This window comes from Homo sapiens, chromosome 3 (genome assembly GCF_000001405.40).
Source record: "Homo sapiens chromosome 3, GRCh38.p14 Primary Assembly".
NCBI classification, from domain to species: domain Eukaryota; kingdom Metazoa; phylum Chordata; class Mammalia; order Primates; family Hominidae; genus Homo; species Homo sapiens.
In genome coordinates, this window is record NC_000003.12 from 65,876,774 (window position 1) to 65,896,428 (window position 19,655).

Below are 19,655 nucleotides of genomic sequence, written 5' to 3' on the forward strand. Positions count from 1 at the left end.
TGCTCTGTCGCCCAGGATGGAGTGCAGTGGCCCAATCTCAGCTCACTGCAAGCTCCGCTTCCCAGGTTCATGCCATTCTCCTGCCTCAGCCTCCCGATTAGCTGGGACTACAGGCACCTGCCACCACGCCCAGCTAATTTTTTGTATTTTTAGTAGAGACGGGGTTTCACCATGTTAGCCAGGATGGTCTCAATCTCCTGACCTCATGATCCGCCCGCCTCGGCCTCCCAAAGTGCTGGGATTACAGGCATGAGCCACTGCGCCTGGCCTATGCTCTAATTTTTAAGTAAAAATTAAATTAACACAAAACAAAAACCTTATCCAAGTTTAAGCTGGGACTCAAATGCAAGTGTGAGTCCAAATTCCAGGCTGTGATCAACATACTCTGTGGTCCAACTTATGGGACCTTTTCCCATATGGGATTTATATAAACTGCTGTTGGAGATGCCTTTATACAAATTAAGTAGTTTTTGACATAATCACCAATATGAGTCAATGTATGGGAGAGAAGAAATGAAACTCTACAAGGTACAACTCCCTCTTTACCAACAAACACGAAACTGGGATGAGTAACATCTCAGGGCATGGACTTATACAATACTTAGGGCACAAACATAAATGTTGGCAGCCTCCCTGAAAATGTGAGCAGCTCTCAAACACCCACAGATATTTTAATGTGTTTTTCTCCACTTGTATCCACGTAGAGAGGTTCCCCAGAGATGACCTCAATTTGAATCCAGAAGAAGACAGCATGCCTCTAAGACACTTGGAGAAAGTGTCTTAGCTCTCAGACATGAAATCAGTAAGGTAAGAAGAAGGTGGGAAAATATTTTCCTACCAAAACAGTCACCTGTATTTTAGTTTAACTGATTCCCAGGTTCAAGCAATTCTCCTGCCTAAGCCTCCCAAGTGGCTGGGATTACAGACACCCACCATCATGCCTGGCTAATTTTTGTATTTTTGTAGAGACAAACTCAAAAGCTTTCTGATCACTGGAAAAGAACCTGATCATCTATGAGAACAGAACACCCCATAACAAAACAGGAACATGGGGCCAGGCATGTGGCTCATGTCTGTAATTCCAGCACTTTGGGAAGTCAAGGTAGGAGGACTGCTTGAGCCCAGGACTTTGAGACCAGCCTGGGCAATATGGTGAGACACTGTCTCTACAAAAAGTGTTTTAAAAAATTAGTCAGGCACAGTGGCGCACACCTGTGACACCAGCTTCTCAGGAGGCTTAGGCAGGAGGATCACCTGTGCCGAGGAGTTGGAAACTGCAGTAAGTCATCATCACACCACTGCACTCCAGCCTACGTGACAGAGTGAGGTTCTGTCTCAAAAAAAAAAGGAAAAAAAACACAGGAACACGGACATCACAAAACCACACTGGGCTTTGGCAAAACCTCACCTAACACGGTTTCCAGGCTTCAAGTCAAAAGTTGGATATAAGAATGCAGACTTGGCCGGGCACGGTGGCTCACGCCTGTAATCCCATCACTTTGGGAGGCCAAGGCGGGCAGATCACCTGATATCAGGTGTTCAAGACCAGCCTGGCCAATATGGTGAAACCTCGTCTCGACAGAAATACAAAAATTAGCCAGGCATGGTGGTGGGTGCCTGTAATCCCAGCTACTTGGGAGGCTGAAGTAGGCGAATTGCTTGAACCTGGGAAGCAGAGGTTGCAGTGAGCCAAGATTGCGCTATTGCACTCCAGCCTGGACAACAGAGCGAGACTCAGTCTCAAAAAAAAAAAAAAAAAAGAACGCAGACTTATTTTTTTATTTGCCAAAATAAAGAAAAAATAAATTATTATTCTCTACCATCCTCGAATAAGTGTTTATTATACCCCAATATTAGAAGGAAGAAATAAAAGTAAAAGATAAAGCACACCAGTGACAAAATGGATATGTTTCCCACCATGAATGCATATTTCGTTTGTGGCAGTTTAAATATTACACTTTGCTTCAATGCTGTCTGCTGGTTACAAATAGCCCAGGGCCCTGCTCCTGATCACAGCTCAAAGGAAGGCTGCCTGGACTGATTTAACGACCATCTCCAACCAGAAGCTGCCTCCAATTTATCTACGAAACAGGTATAGGTAGGGGAAAGAGCAGAGGTGAGTATGGTTTTCTGCAGTGGGCAGTTTCCTTCTCCAAGGCCTTCCTCCACATCATTCAGCCCGCCTGACTTCCTTTCACCTGCCCCTGCTGCCTGAGCTCCTGCTGGGGGTTGCAGTGATCAAAGTCAATACAAGCCTCACTTTAGAATGGCTTCCATACCATCAATCCACGTTTGAAAAACAACCACCAAAAAGACTTGTGCTCATTGGTAAACAAGAGTATCCCCACCAGGCAGGCCCACAGCCTAATTGGGAGTGACTCAGCTCATCAATGCACCAGACTCGGCCGAAAATTTCTCAACTTGTTGATACAAAGCTAGACATTAAGGTGGAAGCGGAGAGCAAAGAGAAGCATTTAAGTTCGCTGGGAGTCCCAGGGTCCACCATTAAGCCCCCTGTTTTCGGCAATCATTTTGCATTGCTAAGGACAGTGGAAGACCTGGCCCCAATCCACCACAGTAGGCAGAATCTGAATATGGGAGTAAAGGTTCCAAGCAGAGAGAAGTCAGGCGATTAAGGGAAGAAACAGGTCTCTTTAACAATTAAAGCCTACCTTATGATCATGTTATTACACTTGGAATAAATGTTACCTAGGAGACATCATGCTTAAAGCTTCACATATTATAACAACCTTGGGCAACCTGACCACCTGTGACATAATCCCAGCTCTACTATGTGCTGGCTGTGTGTTCTCAGGCAAAGTTCTTAACCTCTCTGTGCTCAGAATCATCTGTAAACTGGGAATAATCATGAGTTCTACAACTCAATTTAGAGTTATAAGGTTTGAAGTTGATAGTCTAGGTACAATACCTGGTACATAGAAAGGAGCAAAATGGTAGCATTATCATTTCATGATGGTTATTATTATTATTCCCACTTTACAGACTAGGAAACCAACCTTAGAAAGAATCACAAATTTGTCTCAAGTCACACAGCTGATAAGTGGGCTGAACTGGGTCTGTCTGATGAACTCTGAAGCCCATTCTCTAATTACCTATTACAGTCTCTCCTCTCCCCTTGTAGTTCCTGCCCTTGTCATCCCTAACAGACACATGGCATCAGCTACTAGAATCTGTGTGATTAAAAAGTTGGGCTCAGTGGCTCACGCCTGTAATCCCAGCACTTTGGGAGGCCGAAGCAGGAGTTCAAGACCAGCCTGGGCAACATGATGAAACCCAGTCTCTACTAAAAATATAAAAATTAGCTGGGTATGGTGGCACACACCTGTAGTCCCAGCTACTCAGAAGGCTAAGGCAGGAGGACTGCTTGAGCCTCAGAGGTAGAAGTTGCATTAAGCTGAGATTGCACCACTGCACTCCAACCTGGGTGACAGAGCAAGACCCTGTCTCAAGAAAGAAAAAAAAAAATAGCCTTGGAAGAAAATTCCTGTAAAAACCCACACAGTAGTAATGATAACAGTAGTAACAGTAGTGCTGGCAGTGATGGCTGCTGTCATCATCACAGTAGTAGCCAAAATCAGTGACCCTTAGCGCATGTCACTGTGGGCTAAATGGTATATATACAACATCTCATATCCCCTGTCAGGAAGGACTCCATGTGTCACAATTCAGCCAAAACATCAGGGATTTGGAAATGGTATCACCAAAGGAGAGCTATATGTTGGCAGGACAATTATGAACAAGAAATACTGCTGACTGGTCCCAAAACAAATATCTTTATGACAGATGAGGTGGGAGAATCAGCATATGAAATGGCCATGTCATAAAAGTAGCATTCCACGCTTCAAACTTGAGGAGATAATAAACGGCTGACAACTAGATTCCACCGGGAGAACATCCTCACTAGCCCATCACAGCAGCAAAGGCAGGGAAGAAACACTTTTAAGTTTTATTCACTTAGTTCCACTGCACTGAGAGTAAAATCCAAAAAACTAGTTGTAACCTCCTGAATTAAAGAAAAGAGAAAGATACTACTGTTGGCCTGGGACACATCTCAGCAATATCTCATCACTTTCGTCCTCTTCCGCATTTTCATGGGAAATAAAATATCTCTGGCGTGTGTGTGTGTGTGTGTGTGTGTGTATGTAACAGGGTCTCCCTCTGTCACCCAGGCTGGAGTGCAGTGGCATGCTGCCACCTCTGCCTCCCGGGCTCAAGCGATCTTCCCGCCTCAGACTCCCAACTAGCTGGGGCTACCTAATTTTAGTATTTTTTGTAGATACAGGGTTTCTCCATGTTGCCTAGGCTGGTCTTGAACTCCTGAGCTCAAGCGATCCACCTGCCTCAGCCTCCCAAAGTGCTGGGATTACAGAAATGAGCCACTCTGGCATCTGATTTTAACTCTTCTGCACCCTGAGATTAAGAAAGGCAAGCACTGGGACTTGTTCACTGCTAAACACCCAATACTCTTAGATAAGAGAGTACCTGGTATTAGGAAACAGATAATAAATATCTGATCAATGCATAAATGATGGATCTAAATCTCTTGACAAAGCCAAGTGCAGTGGCTCACACCTGTAATCCCAGCACTTTGGGGGGCCAAGGCAGGAGGATCACTCGAGGCCAGGAGTCCAAGACTAGGCTGGGCAGGGTGGCAAGACCCCATCTCTAAAAAATTTTTTGTAATTAGCTGGGCATGGTGGTGTGTGCCTATAGTCCCAGATACTCAGGAGGCTGAGGCAGGGGCATCACTTGTGCCCAGGCGTTGGAGGCTGTAGTGAGCCATGATCTCACCACTCTACTCCAGCTTGGGTGACAGAGCCAGACCCCTTCCTCAAAAAAAAAAAAAGTTAGGACTTCCATATGAGTATAATAAGCTCATCACACATTTGTAAGCTCATCAAATGATTTTTATTTTGTCTTAAGAACGTCTAGGTGTACAGGAATGTGTTCTCAAGTCTATGGGAGGGGGATTCAGCTCCTAGTGTTCATCCAAGCACTTTTTTTTAGCAACTGGGCTGAATAGGAGAGGAAGCCCTTAAATTCCTTTCTTCATCTAAGTAGGTTGTGGTCAAAAAGGCATAAGAGCCTCTGGAAAGCCAGTAGAGGAAACGGCCCTAGCTAGGCAGTGCCCATCCAAGGCCTGTCAAGAGGAGATCAAGTTCTATCACAGATCAAATGACAACACTTCCTATTCCCCAAGCAACCTTCAGTTTAGGAAACTCCTGACTTCCCCTCTGAGGTTTGCCAACAGGGAGAAATGCATTAAAATGCAACAATAAACATTCTATCCAAAGAAAGTTGGTTTTCTTTCTGTAAATTCATAAGCAGTCATTTTGATCTCTGTATCATTCTCTGTGAGGTGGGTTGATGTGAGTTTCTTGGGAAACACCCTTTGTGAGGCTCCTTGGGATCACTCTAAGATGTACCTTTCAGACAGGCTTCTTCAGTTAGTAACAGAAACCAACTCTGCCTAACTTAAAGAAGAAAAAGCTGTTTACTACATGGACACAAAAGACAAAGCTGAAGAAATCGCCTTAGGAAGGTAGGAAATCAAAATAACTCTAAAGACCTAGGAGGCAGGAACTAGCAATCTCTTCTGTTCACCTCTGGGTGAATAGTTTTTATATCACTCAGTTCCATACTCAAATTCAGGAAGAGTATGTCTGATTGACAGAGCTTAAGTTACATGTTTTCCCATCTACAGGATGGCAGGGAACCTCGGTTGACCATCCCATTAAGACTAAGGGAGACATTCCTCAACTGGGGGGAAAAAAGGAGGAGGCAAGAGAGAGAAAGAAAGGAAAAAGAAGAGAATAAATCAGAAAAGAAAATGTGCACGCCAAAAATGCACAAGTTGACCAGGCACAGTGGCTCACATCTGTAATCCCTGCACTTTGGGAAGCTGAGGCAGGCAGATGGCTTGAGCTCAGGTGATCAAGATCAGCCTGGGCAACATGGTGAAACCCCATCTCTACAGAATATCAGAAAAAATTAGCCAGGCATGGTGGTGTGCACCTGTAGTCTCAGCTACTTGGGAGGCTGAGGTGGGAGGATCACTTGAGCCCAGGAGGTTGAGGCTGCAGTGAGCCATGATCACGCAACTGCATTTCAGCCTGGGCAACAGAGCAAGACCCTGTCTCAAAAAAAAAAAAAAAAAGGAAAAAAGAAAGGAAAGAAAAGGGAAAAGGGAAGAGAAAGGACAAGTTGACCTCACAAACAAGCAGTCAGGTATCTTAGCTGCCCCTAACCAGTGGCCTACATCAACAATTTATACACCCATTTATCTCCCCAGTTTCTTTTAACATTCCAGTCATTTCGTGGCTCAAGCTGTAGTAAAACGTCACAGGTCTGGCAATACCACAGCCACTCAAGTGAAGAGTACAGTTTAAAAGCATATGTTCGAAATGAGCCCAAAATATTAGCAAATGGCATAAAAAAGGATTCAGGCATTTTACTACACAACAGTTATTGAAGTTGGATTTTGTGTTACCTAAACAAGTTGAAAAAAATATTTCACAAAACCCTCCTCCACAGAAGTTGTACTAGCAAATTCCAGTCTAAAAGAAGTAAAATCAAATAATTCTGAAACGCAACCCTCAAGAATAAACAAGAATATATATTTTATAAACAGGGTGGGTCACAGTAAGGAAGAATTTAATACTTGCTAGACAAACAATTCTTCACAACAATTATAACAAAGACTTAGCTCTGGAATTGTACAGAAACTGGCAATTTGCTATGAGATTCTACTTCTGGAAGACCACCCAGTTTACATGGAATGTGTCCTTTACTGAATTATTAATATTCACAAGTTTCAGAAGATATTCTATGAAAAAGAAGTGTTGCTTTAAACACTGGCATCAGACTATCCAGTTGTGAGACAAATGACACCTTCCTGAATTGCCACTGCATTTCCCACTGTTCTAACCCTCTCCTCAGTCTGATTTTCCCTGTCTCTTGCCCTCAGACAGAGGGAGAAACAATGGCTGCAGCAGTAACAACTGTTTATCTTAGGTTTTGTGTACACATGAATTGCCTGTGGGCGTTTTGCAAAATGTCACTCCCCCGAATAAACTACTGGAGCCAGAACATTTCCTGTTCATCGAAAGAAATAAACTTTTCAGTCTTAATTCCCCAGTCTACCAAAAAGAAAAAAGAAAAGAATTCTTTCTGAATCATTCCCTAAAAGGCTTTTAAAAAAAATCAGAAAGAAGGAAAATGAAATGAGACTCTAGCAGAAAAGCAAGACAGAATACACTTATCTTAAAGGGAAAAGAACAAGAATGAAAAGAGCAAGATAAACAGAGAGTAGAAGAAACCAACCACAGGTTTTATTAAAGGGATTTCAAGGTGATGGTCAACTAATTAGATTCCTGAATTCACAATGTAACAGAAAGAAAAACACGTCCGAATAAAGCCTACCAACTCTCTCCACCCTGCCATGTGCTGCCTTTTCTTAGATACAACAAGGAACTAGTGACACTGTGCATATAGCACATAGCGATACTGTGCATGAGGTATCCAAGTGCAGACTCATTACTGATACACAAGGAAAAATTGTACCACATGGGGTGGAAGAACGAAGGGAGAACTTGACCAAGCTCCCATCTAGAAACACACAAGATAGGTGAACAATGGCCAAAAAGTACTTCCCTTAAATACAAAAAGCATGGCATCAAAATGTGAGATAAAATTAAGGAAGAATACATTTAAGACAACTTGAATCCATTTTCTAACTACTAAAATACTGAGCTATTAAACAACTAATTTTGCTATCAAATGAACAAAGATTTTCTTTTCTTTTTTCTTTTTTTTTAAGATTCAGGGGGTACATGTGCAGGTTAGTTACATGGGTATATTGCATGATGCTGGGGTTTGGGCTTCCAATGATCCTGTCACCCAGGTAATGAACACAATCCCACCAGGCATTTTTCAACCCCTTCCTCCATCTCTCCATCCCCACTTTGGGAGGCCCAGTGTCTGCTGTTCAACGTTAGTTCCCACTTATAAATGAGAGCACATGGAATTTGGTTTTCTGTTAGAGGAACAGAGATTTAAGGATTGGAGAGAGTATAAGAAAATTTGTATTAGCATGATATGTACCAAAACCTAAAGATCTAAAACCAAGTAATTCCACATGTAATATTTGTCTCAAGGAAATATTCAGAGAGATATATAAGGCTGTATGCACAAAAATTGTTCATCACATCATTGTTTATGAAAGCACTTCAGAAACAACCTAAATATTCAACAAAAAAATCACATATAAAATAAATTACAAAACAGTCATAAAATAGATACCTGGATGAAAAAACGTTTTCAGGTCGGGCGCAGCAGCTCACATCTGTAATCCCAACAATTTGGGAGGCCGAGGTGGGCAGATCACCTGAGGTCAAGAGTTCAAGACCAGCCTGGCTAACACAGTGAAACCCCATTTCTACCAAAAACACAAATTAGCCCGGTGTGGTGGTGCGCATCTGTAATCCCAGCTACTTGGGAGGCTAAGCCAGGAGAATCACTTGAACCCAGGAGGCAGAAGTTGCAGTGAGCTGAGATTGTGCCACTGCACTCCAGCTTGGGCAAGAAGAGCAAAACTCTGTCTCAAAAAAAAAAAAAATAGTTTTCACATATATTGTGAACGTTATTCCCTATCAAGTATAATGAGGGGGAAAAACAAAACTCAGAGTGTGTGATATGGTTTGGCTGTGTCCCCACTCAAATCACATCTGGAATTGTAGCTTCCTTAATCCTTACATGTCATGGAGGGACCCAGTGGGAGGTACCTTAATCATGGGGGTGGGTTTTACCCATGCTATTCTCATGATAGTGAATAAGTATCATGAGATCTGACGGTTTTATAAAGGGCAGTTCCCCTGCACACGCTCTCTTGCCTGCCACCATGTAAGACTTGACTTTGCTCCTCCTTCACCTTCCACCATGATTATGAGGCCTCCCCACCCATGTGGAACTGTAAGTCCATTAAACCTTTTTCCTTTATAAATTACCCAGTCTCAGGTATGTGTGTACTAGCAGCGTGAGAACGAACTAACACAGTACGAAATGGTTATAATTTATACAATAAATGCTCATGTGCTTATAGGTGGCATCTGTCTGCATGTGTATACATGCATACACACATATACACTCATACTACATAATACTATTTAAAAATCAAATATTGAATGGTGGTTATCTCTGAGCGGAGATGTTACAGTTTTATTTATCTATATTATCTAACTATGCAAACAAGTATAACTGAAAGCAAAAATCACCTTACAAAGAATAATGTGCTATATACTTAAGTTTAGAACTGTAATGGGCCAACCTTTCATTCCATTGAGAAATAGGCTCTTATATTCCGTATCTCCCTATTTTGCATAGTTTTATTACCTAATAAGATACTGTTTCACACCAATTCTGCACAGAAAGTTCATATGTAAATGTCCTATTATTAGCAAGATTATATGTTGTATTTTTTGACAGTCAAACTGCATAAATGGATGAGGACAAGAAAATATTCTAAATAGCAATTTTTTTTCATTTGGTACATCAAAGGGATTTTTCATTTAATCTCAAATAAGCGTGTCTCAAGATTCTCTTTTTAAAAAAATAATAAAGGCATGATCTTCAGCAAAGACTGAGTTACCTCCAAAAATACATTCTCCCCTTCCTCCAAACTCTCAGTTGAGCATATGGCTGCCCTCATTAAAGGCTTTTGTTGCAGCTAGTTATGGCCACACGAGCAAGGTCTGGCTTATGAGATGTGAGCAGAAGCACAGTGTGTCATTTCCAAGCCGTGTCTGTGAAGAGAAGAGACCTGCTCTCCTCTTGTCTCCGTCTCACTAGCCAGAATGCACAGGAGGACAATATCTCTATAATGACAGAGCAATATATGAGACAGAATCTCAGTCCCCAACCTTGCAGAATCACAGTAGCGTAGGACTGTTACATGGCTAGACCGTTACATAAGGTAGAAATGAACTTCTACTATATTGAAGCCACTGTGATTTGAGGTAACTGCTAATGCAGCCAAACCTATATGTTGGCTGATACACAGAAAGCTTGAACAAAATAACCAGTATTGAACCAGTAAACTATTAATTTCTCCTACCTGATCCTACACATCTCTTCTCCAAAAAACATTTCAGAATGGGTATACACCACTGTCATTTCTTAATAATTTAAGAAAATAAAGTACCTAGTTAATGTCAAAGGCTTCTGTGCAAACTCATAAAATACAAGGTGCACTTAAAATAAATATAAAATACTGATTAAGAATAGTCTAAGTTGAAACCAAGATTCTCAGACATGAGTAAAATAAGTATGTATGCCATCTCAAAAAAAGATTCCAAAGATCATATGCATATTTTTATCTGTATAGAAAAATTGAAAAAATATATCCCAAACTGGTTGCCTCTGGAGGATTAGAATTTTAGGTTGAGAACAGAAGGAGATAACAGGAAAAATTTAGTTTTCTACTTTATATTCCTGTGTTTTATTTGAATTTTTGCCACAAACATGTATTACTTTAGTAATACACAAAAACTACAAAAATAAAGCACATATTAGAACTCTGTACAGCAGACTGATACCAGAAAAAAAAAAAAAAAAGGGCAGGGGCAAGAGGGGGAAATAAGATTTCTATCTACAAATAAAACCACAGCCTTCTGAATTCTGGGATGTAAATTCATAAACCTGTAACTTCTACTGTGCATTAAAAAAAACTATAACATACCATAAAACCTGTATCTATTTCTTTAACTTCCTTACCTTTACCAAATACCACAATTTCTCTTAGACAGAGACAGTAAACATAAAACTCATGAAAAACTAAAGAGACAGAAAAATAAAAATTCTATGTCTGGTTAGGACGTTAATAAGCTCACAATCATAGGACACCACTATTATCTAAGGCACAGTGTTTTCAATTTGGATAGTAAGTCAGTTCATCTTTGAGCTTCGATCAATGTCTTAAAGCTTTCAAGACCACATGAGGATATGGTACATTGCCCATTATCTCACTTACTGAGTGACCTATTATTCATTGAATTTATTTCCACACAAGAGAACAGCATAGATACAGTATCCTAAATGATCATGCACATAAAACAAACATTAACATCATATTCATCGTTAGCAACTATTAGAACCTGTATATTACACTCTCAATAACTGACTGTATCATTCAAGTTGATATTAGTTCAATATGGTATATTCTGTGTTTCATAAAGAACCTATCACCAAACTAAGATTTTTTGAGATCAGCAAAACCCAATCTTTATAAAAGGTGCCCAGTTGATTAGCGAAATTACCTTCTCTCTACTGTGAAAACAATTCCCACTATCCAACCTGATGGTAAGAAAGCTGCTACATAATTGTGTGTGAAGGCCCTGAACTTCAAACATTCCTAGAACAGATTTTTCCTAATGGTGACAGGACTTAAAATCTAAGAAGCCATATGAAGCATCAGAACCCATCTCAATAACTTTACAAAAGCACAAGAATAGTCAAGGAGAGGTTGAGAAAGGAAGACTATGTCTTTCATCTTCAGAGTCAGAGCCAAGGGAAGTACTGAGCAGGGAATTAGTATATGTCTAGCATTGGCAACCAAAGTATTCAAGAGGCCCATTATAAACCTTTATGTCCAAAAGAATTCCTATGAGGCTACGTTAAGAAGAAAAACATGTTGGAATACATTGCAAGTTACCACTGGCAGATGTTAAGAAAATAAAATTATACAAGTAGTAAATGGGATAAAATTTTTAATGACATTAGAAATGAAAGGAGATTTAGAATTAAAACTAGCAACTGGATTCACAAGTCTTAAACACACACATATACACAAGTACATACACATTTAAGAATCTTTAAGATTTTTTTTAAACACTCAAAAATGAAATACTGAGTTTAAAGAACTAAAAGCTTTAATTTCTCCTTTCTAAAAAAAAGAAAAAAGCCAGAAGACTGGCCAGGATGCCCAAGACCTTCCAATTCAATGCTCCCAAAAACTATGAACCACAAAATCTGACAGATGGAAAATGGTTATTCCAAGGGGTTTGGGATTCTACAGGTACACCAGAAATTATCTGTGCGCTAAAAAAATGTGAGTAAAAGTATTTTCTATAATATACAGATGCCATATATGTGTGTATGTTTATGTATATATTTATATATGTGTGTATGTATACATATGTAACAAATATAATATTACAAAGATATAATGTATAATGACCTCTATAGGCTAGTACTATTCATTATCAGATTCATAGCAGTTTTCCAAAACCAAGAGACGCTAAAAGTACAACTAATATTAAGTAAGCATCTGTGAAACTTTCTGAAGCATAGCCTCTAAAAGACTGAAACCACCACACTAATCCAGAGTGATCCTTCAGTTGACCTGGCTGATATAATGTCCATGGGTCAGAGTGAGATGGCTGAATTAAATAAGCAAAGAAAGTAATCATCTGATATGTAGGAGAGAATGTGGGCAAGGAGATGGGAAAGATCCATCACTTTAAAAAGGCAAGAACCCCTTCTGTTTCTGTCTTTTTAGAAGACCAGTTGCTGCTACATATTTTGTATCTGCACAGACTTTTCTCTTCTGGGCTTAGCGACACACTCAACATTTTCAGTACAGAGTCATGATTCTCTGTTCTCTCCTCTATTCAGCTACATCATGAGTCATAGTAATGACTATTCTTGAATACCACTGGTGACGTTCAAAAAATTCTAAGCTCATGCCAACCAACTTTTGAACATCTGTGAGGCAGGGGAGAAATACTCGCCTAAAAGCTGCTGCCAGAAACAGTAGTCTGCATTCCAAAGTCAGTGCAACACAGGAGTTTAACTTGGGAGGCCTTAACATAACAGTAAGTAACACAACAGTGAAAGAATCTGTACTAATAAGGAAAATAATAATGTCAGTTACCATCTATTGAGAGCTACTATATTGAGAAAATTTACACTCATAGTATGGGGGCATGGGGGGTTGTCAGGTAAGGCTTCCTGGAGGGGGAGCCACCTGAGCCAACACCAAAAAGATAAGCAGAATGTACTGGTATATACAGAAATGTATTGGTATGTGTTCACAACAGAGAAGCATGAGGATGCTGCCACATGTATGAAGATGGTCACTGCAGTGTTCCTTATAAAAGCCAAAGCACACAAGCAAGCTTTGTGCCTTTCAACAGATTGTTATCTTAATGTCTACCTCATGCTGTTCACAGAAAAAAATAAAAGTGGGCAACCAGTTTTTAGCTCCAGATGACATTAAAAACTCATGATATGCCGGCCAGTCGCGGTGGCTCACGCCTGTAATCCCGGCACTTTGGGAGGCCGAGTGGACGGATCACGAGGTCAGGAGATCGAGACCATCCTGGCTAACACAGTGAAACCCCGTCTCTACTAAAAATACAAAAAAATTAGCCGGGCGTGGTGGCGGGCGCCTGCAGTCCCAGCTACTCGGGAGGCTGAGGCAGGAGAATGGCGTCAACCCAGGAGGCGGAGCTTGCAGTGAGCAGAGATAGCGCCACTGCACTTCAGCCTGGGCGACAGAGCGAGACTCCGTCTCAAAACAAAAAACAAACAAACAAAAAAACTCATCATATGCCTTCCCAACTCACACACAGGCACACACACACACCGAGGAGGTCAGAAACATGTTCTTGTGCATCCAACTTCAAAACATTAAGCTTTATAAAATTCAACAATATTTTTCTCATTTCATGTCTGAACAAGGCCCAGCACAGATCCAAGGACCAAAATTTCCCAAAGGACTTGCAAGAACATTCCAACTTTAACACCACATCCAACGCAAACACTTCTTTAAAAGAACGAGCAGATTCACATAGCCAAAAACTCAGGAGTTGAACAAGTCACAAAATATCAGCCCATCCATTTATAAGAGGTACAAGTTGAGAACCACTATGGTTGAAGGATCTTGCCCAAGGCCAGTCATACAGCTGGAATGGCAACCCAGATTCCAATTTTAGAACTATCCCAATAAGCTACATTGATTGAACTCCTCCTATTGTACTTGTCAATAGACAGCTGGAACAGCACAAAACATTAACTTGGAAAGAAAAACAAAAATAAAATGTATCGCCTCGTTTGTTTAGACAACAAAACCTATTCCAGCCTGGGCAGTGGTTCACACCTCTAATCCTAGCACTTTGTGAAGGCTGACAGGCAGGAGGATTGCTTGAGGCCAGGAGTTCAAGACCAGTCTGGGCAACACGGCAAAACCCCATCTCTACAAAAATTACAAAAATTAGCCAGGCACGGTGGCATGCACCTGTAGTCCTAGCTACTTGGGAGGCTGAGGTGGGAGGATAGCTTGAGCTCAGGAGGCAGAGGATGCAGTGCGCCATTACACTTCAGCCTGGGCGACTGAGTGAGCCCCTGTCACAGAAAAACACACACAAAAAAAAAAAAAGGAAAGAAAGAAACCAATAACAAGAAGAAAAAAACTATTCTAATGGGTTTGTAACATGGACAACTACTTGCTCTTTAAAGAATGAGACAGATAACTGTAATGGTAAGAAGTCATTTACTGAGCACCTATTACAAATCTGGTAATATGCCAGGCGCTACCACCCATCACTGACCAATCACTGAACTAGGACTTAGGTAAGCACCATCAATAAAACCCTTAAAGCACAACGGGAAGAGAAGCCTGGGCTGCTAGCACAATAAGCCCCAACAAACTAAAATGTTAGATTAAGGGACAGAAGTATTTTCTACTTCATAAGTTAATTATACATTACCAAGGTTACTTTTCCCCACTATTTTGCAGGAGTCAACGTGATACACAATATAACCAAGGGTGACAAAAGCAACCATACTCCAAAGTATTCAGCAAAATACTTGACAAGCAACATGCATGACAATAGCCCTAAGGTGTTGGAAGACTGGGATACAAACCCCTGTTGTCTGGGGCCTGTTGTGGGGTGGGGGGAGGGGGAGGGATAGCTTTAGGAGATATACCTAATGTAAATGATGAGTTAATGGGTGCAGCACACCAACATGGCACATGTATACATACGTAACAAACCTGCACATTGTGCAAATGTACCCTAGAACTTAAAGTATAATATATATATATATATATATATATATATATATATATATATATATATATATATATATACCCGTGTTGCTCCAATTCAAATTTGTGACAAGTAACCAGTTATTATAGGATTATGCTGGACAATGAGATACACCCCCTCCCATATTGTTCTAAATAGATACTTTATACAGAAAACTCATTATAGATACTCATTATATAGAGAACACAGTCTTTAATTAGAGTCTCTGAAATAGCTATTCCCCATCCTTAATTATGTAACACATAACACGAAAACTTCTGATCACAGCCTGATGGGCAGCCAATGGGCAAATTCCCTCAAGGTTCAGTGACCCTAACTGTGAAGCTATTTTTCTTTAATTATGTTACAGAAAAAGATGTCTCAATCCATGGTCCTCCTAAGCTTCAAGAGGAAAGGTTGGGAGGAAACTCATTAACTTAGTTATGATCGTCTATATTTCAGAGAGGAAAGAAAAAGAGAAAACTTTGCATAACTTTTTGATGGACATAAAATAATAGCAGAATCAGATTTTGTTTAAGATAATAATAGCAGAATCAGATTTTATTAAGTGGCATACCAACATTTTATTAAGTGGCATACAAGGCATTCTTGTGTTTATTTTTTAGAAATTATCAAAACCTACCAAAGCAAATCTAAAGAACGTATATAAAAGAACTTACCTAAAACATTAAATTAATGTTAAGTATAATTATAACAGCAGCTAACATTTATGTATTAGGTGTTAACTGTTCAACTTTACACATTGTTTTAATGTCTCCCAAATCAGCCTAACAGTAAGACTTACCTGGGGCACTTAATCACAGAATCCCTGGAAATTCTAATTCTGTAGCTCTGGGATGGGTCCCATTATTTTAAAAAATGCATTACAATCATTCTTATGACCAAGCTAGGTTAGGAAACAGATTCTCATGGGCTCTTCTTTAACAATGACAGGAAATAGGAAACACTATTAGACCCATTTGACAACTGAAGAAACTGAGGCTTAGAGAGGTCACAAAGCCACCCAGGGTCAGAGGCAGAAACAAACAGAAATGTGAGCTCAGATTTGTAGCTTTTAGCCTGAAAGTAAAACTGCAATCATTGTTCCTTTCCCCAGGTAACACACCAGAGAAGGACACTAACAACCTCAATTTCAGGGACGATAAAAATTAAGTAACAATCCATTCTTCTCTTATTATCTCTCTCAGAGTATCTAAGAAGGCTACACTGGTAAAAGGCTACAGTGCAGTTTCTGGCACATAAGTTACTGAAAATAAGATTTCTTTCCTATCTCCCATCCTTCATCCCTTCTTCTCTACTGATGTCCTCTAATTGGAGTCATTAGTCCTCTTTCTACCAAGCAAAGCCAAAGGTTCCCAGACATATACAACCTCAGAAAAAAAAATGTGAAATAAATGGCAGATACTAACATCAGATTTACTATTCATTTTTCTTTTTTTTTTTCATTTCATGAAAATTACATTCAAACCGGTTTCTTGCCTGGAGAAAAGCACAAAACAAAATTTACATAACGCCTTTAAAAATCAAAACACAATTAACGTTAAGTTTCTTCATGCATTCTCAAAAATCCAACAATATAGTTTAATAGAAAATAATGACAAGCAACATTTATTGAGCGTATCAAGTATTAAATCACTAATTCTCATCAGAAGTCCAGAGGGAATTACGCGAGTCCCATTTACAATTAAGAAAACAGACACAAAGAAATTACAAATTTTGCCCCAGGTTACACAGTTACTAAGTGGTAAAGACAGTATGCAAAATTAGAAGAAGAACTACTATTTGAATTCATGATTTCTTTATTACAATTATCTACTGCTGCGTAATAAATCATCCCAAAATATAACGGCTTAAACTAACAACAATCATTTTATTATCTTTCACAATTTCTGTGAGTCAGGAATTTGTACAAAGCACAGCTGAAATGCTTGTCTCTGCTTCCTGATGTCTGAATCTTACACTGGGAAGACTGCAGGCAACTCAATGGCCCAGGGCTAGAATCATCTGAAACCTCAGGTGTGTTTCACCTCCCCTGGAACACTTGGATGTGGCCTCACCATTTGGCTCCTTGAGCTCCCCTGCAGCCTCCTAGCTGGTTTCCAAAGTCAAGTGTCCCAAAAGAACCAGGTAGAAGCTATACCACCTTTTATGACCCTATCTTGGAAGTCTCACAGCACTGCTCCACCATAATCACATGGCCACCCCTCCATACAAAAAGAAGGAACGAGACATCACTACCCGCCTCCCTATGGAAAGAATCTCAAAGTTGTAAGAACAGCATAATTTCTGCCACAACCCCTAAATAACAATCAATAATATCATCCCTACCTACTAGTGAGAAAATGGAAGTTCAGAAAGGCTATGTGATTGCCCAAGGTCACACAATAAATAATGGCACTAAGATGCCAACACAGGCCCTTGTGACTCCAAATCCTGTTCAATTTCCATTACATCATATTTATAAAACATTCCATCTAAACTGAGTTGTTCCTTGGTGAAAGCTAGGACACATCCATCTTTTAAAAATAATAATAAAGTGAACCATTCCACCAAAAATATGCTAAAAGGATATCCAAATATAAATTATCAAATTTGGAAAGGCAGCAAATGGAAATCCTAATCTAAAGCATTCTTAGTTTACCAGTGATGTCAAATGTTAGCATTTTCTTTGTTGTTGTAATTGAGGATTCGTGTAAGAAAAGAGAAATACAATACCAAGAGTATTCAGTAAGGATAGTCCTTGAAAAGACTAGCAACCACCTAGGACAGTGGTGCAAACCATCCAATTAAGTCTAAATAGGAGATACCCAGGCAACACAATGAAGCCAATGAGCTACAAACTCCATCTGATGCCAAAACTAAAAGGGGAGTTATCACTCATCACCATCAACTGCTTTTGAAAAGGCCAATCCCAGCTATGAGTGTCTCTTCTGGCATGGGAAATTTCATAACACATCTTTATTGCCGGCTGAGGCCACTTGCCTCATCCAGATTCACTGCCTTATGAAAATGTGCAATATGAATGTTTACCGTTGTCATGGAACCTTCACATGAGTTCAAAATAACACACACCCATCACTGTGGCATTTCCAAACAGGACTGAATGGTTGGAAACGGAGGTGCTAGCTAATGTTATTTATTAAAACAAATAAAAACGTCTCTTTTATTTTAGATATCTGTGATGTTCATGGAGGACTTGGCAATATGTGCATGGTTGGGCATAATCTGATAATAAATCCATCAGTCCTTTATTTTGCTACTGGTTAACTAAAATGCCAGACATAAAGGCAACTGTACTTCTTTAACAAATGTGTCTTCTTCTAAGTGGGCAGTGTCAGCACTTGTTCCCTAGACGGGTTCACAGCTAGTACAACACACAGAGTCCCCCATTCAAAACTTCAGCACCTCTTCTCCAGCCCCTATTCTCTCCACTCAATGTCTTAACCATGGGCATTAAGGAACACAACATGTGAAATATACAGGCAATTTGCTGGTCTGAGTTTGTGTGACACCTTCAGGTTTCAGAAATTAAACTGCCACCCTCAGGGTCAGAGACCAGAATTCTCAAAAGTACTACAATTCATTCGAGAAGGCAAGGCATGGTAGACACTACCTTTGTCTTCAAACAATAATCTAATTTTTTCTTTCCAAATCCCTACAAAGACTCTTTATATGATCAATGACCATCTATCTATCCGGCAGCTTTCTGTATCAAAGGGAATAACTTAACCTAAATTCATTATAGTTTCATGTGCCAAGTGCACAGTAATGGCTAAAATCAAAGTCATTGAGATGATGAAGCCCCATCCAAACTTACGTCAGTTACCCTCCATTTTAACATTGAAAAACAGTATTTATCAGTACCATCAATATATTTGCTTCTAAACACTTTTTCCTCAAAGGGACTTTTCAATCATCAAACTATAGCTGGCATTAAATCCAAAAGAATATTCAACTATAGCAAGTAATATTTCCCTGGAAAGCTATTAATTATTCAGCATTCCTTAGCTGCCTACAAGCAGATAGATACCCAGGTTGTTCTTTGTTGGAAACACTCACTCAGCGCCCCTGCCCCCAGCTTGGAGAGGAATACAGGCTGACCCACTACCATTGCATCTCTGTAAACCTCAAGAAGTGATGCTGCAAGGACCAGCTCAATAGTACCTAACAGCCTGGCTGACATGGGGAAGCCCCCAGCCAGACCAAAATCTCCACCCACTGCGGTATTTTTCTCCCTATAGGCAATAGACAAAAGGCCAATGTTCCCACTCACTTTAAATTCAGGCATAAGTAACAGGACTCAGACAAGGAAGAAAACTGAAGTCCCAGTCAAAACTGAAACCCACCAGCGTATATAATAAGTATTTTTATTATTATCACTAACAGCAGTAATCACGACAAAAAAAAAAAAGTACAACCATGCCCATGGCTGACAGGAAGGTTATCAATCGAGGACAATTTAGTTATATGTGGTTTAGGAAGAAGAAAAAACGACTTGAAATTATCAAAACCTTGGACTCAGGAATA

At 40.0% G+C, this 19,655-nt stretch overlaps 1 protein-coding gene and 2 long non-coding RNA genes across 8 annotated transcripts in view; 1 reads left to right on the forward strand and 2 right to left on the reverse strand.

Annotated features, from left to right (window-relative positions):
* The window catches only part of MAGI1 (membrane associated guanylate kinase, WW and PDZ domain containing 1), a 685,393-nt gene that overhangs the window by 523,248 nt on the left and 142,490 nt on the right, over positions 1–19,655 (reverse strand). The window lies entirely within an intron of this gene.
* The window catches only part of MAGI1-IT1 (MAGI1 intronic transcript 1), an 81,745-nt gene that overhangs the window by 3,960 nt on the left and 58,130 nt on the right, over positions 1–19,655 (reverse strand). The gene's annotated exons all lie outside the window — the stretch shown is intronic.
* The window catches only part of MAGI1-AS1 (MAGI1 antisense RNA 1), a 31,482-nt gene continuing 28,869 nt past the window's right edge, over positions 17,043–19,655 (forward strand). The window contains exon 1 of the long non-coding RNA NR_046575.1: positions 17,043–17,144. This is a non-coding gene — a long non-coding RNA (MAGI1 antisense RNA 1). The remainder of the gene's footprint in view (positions 17,145–19,655) is intronic.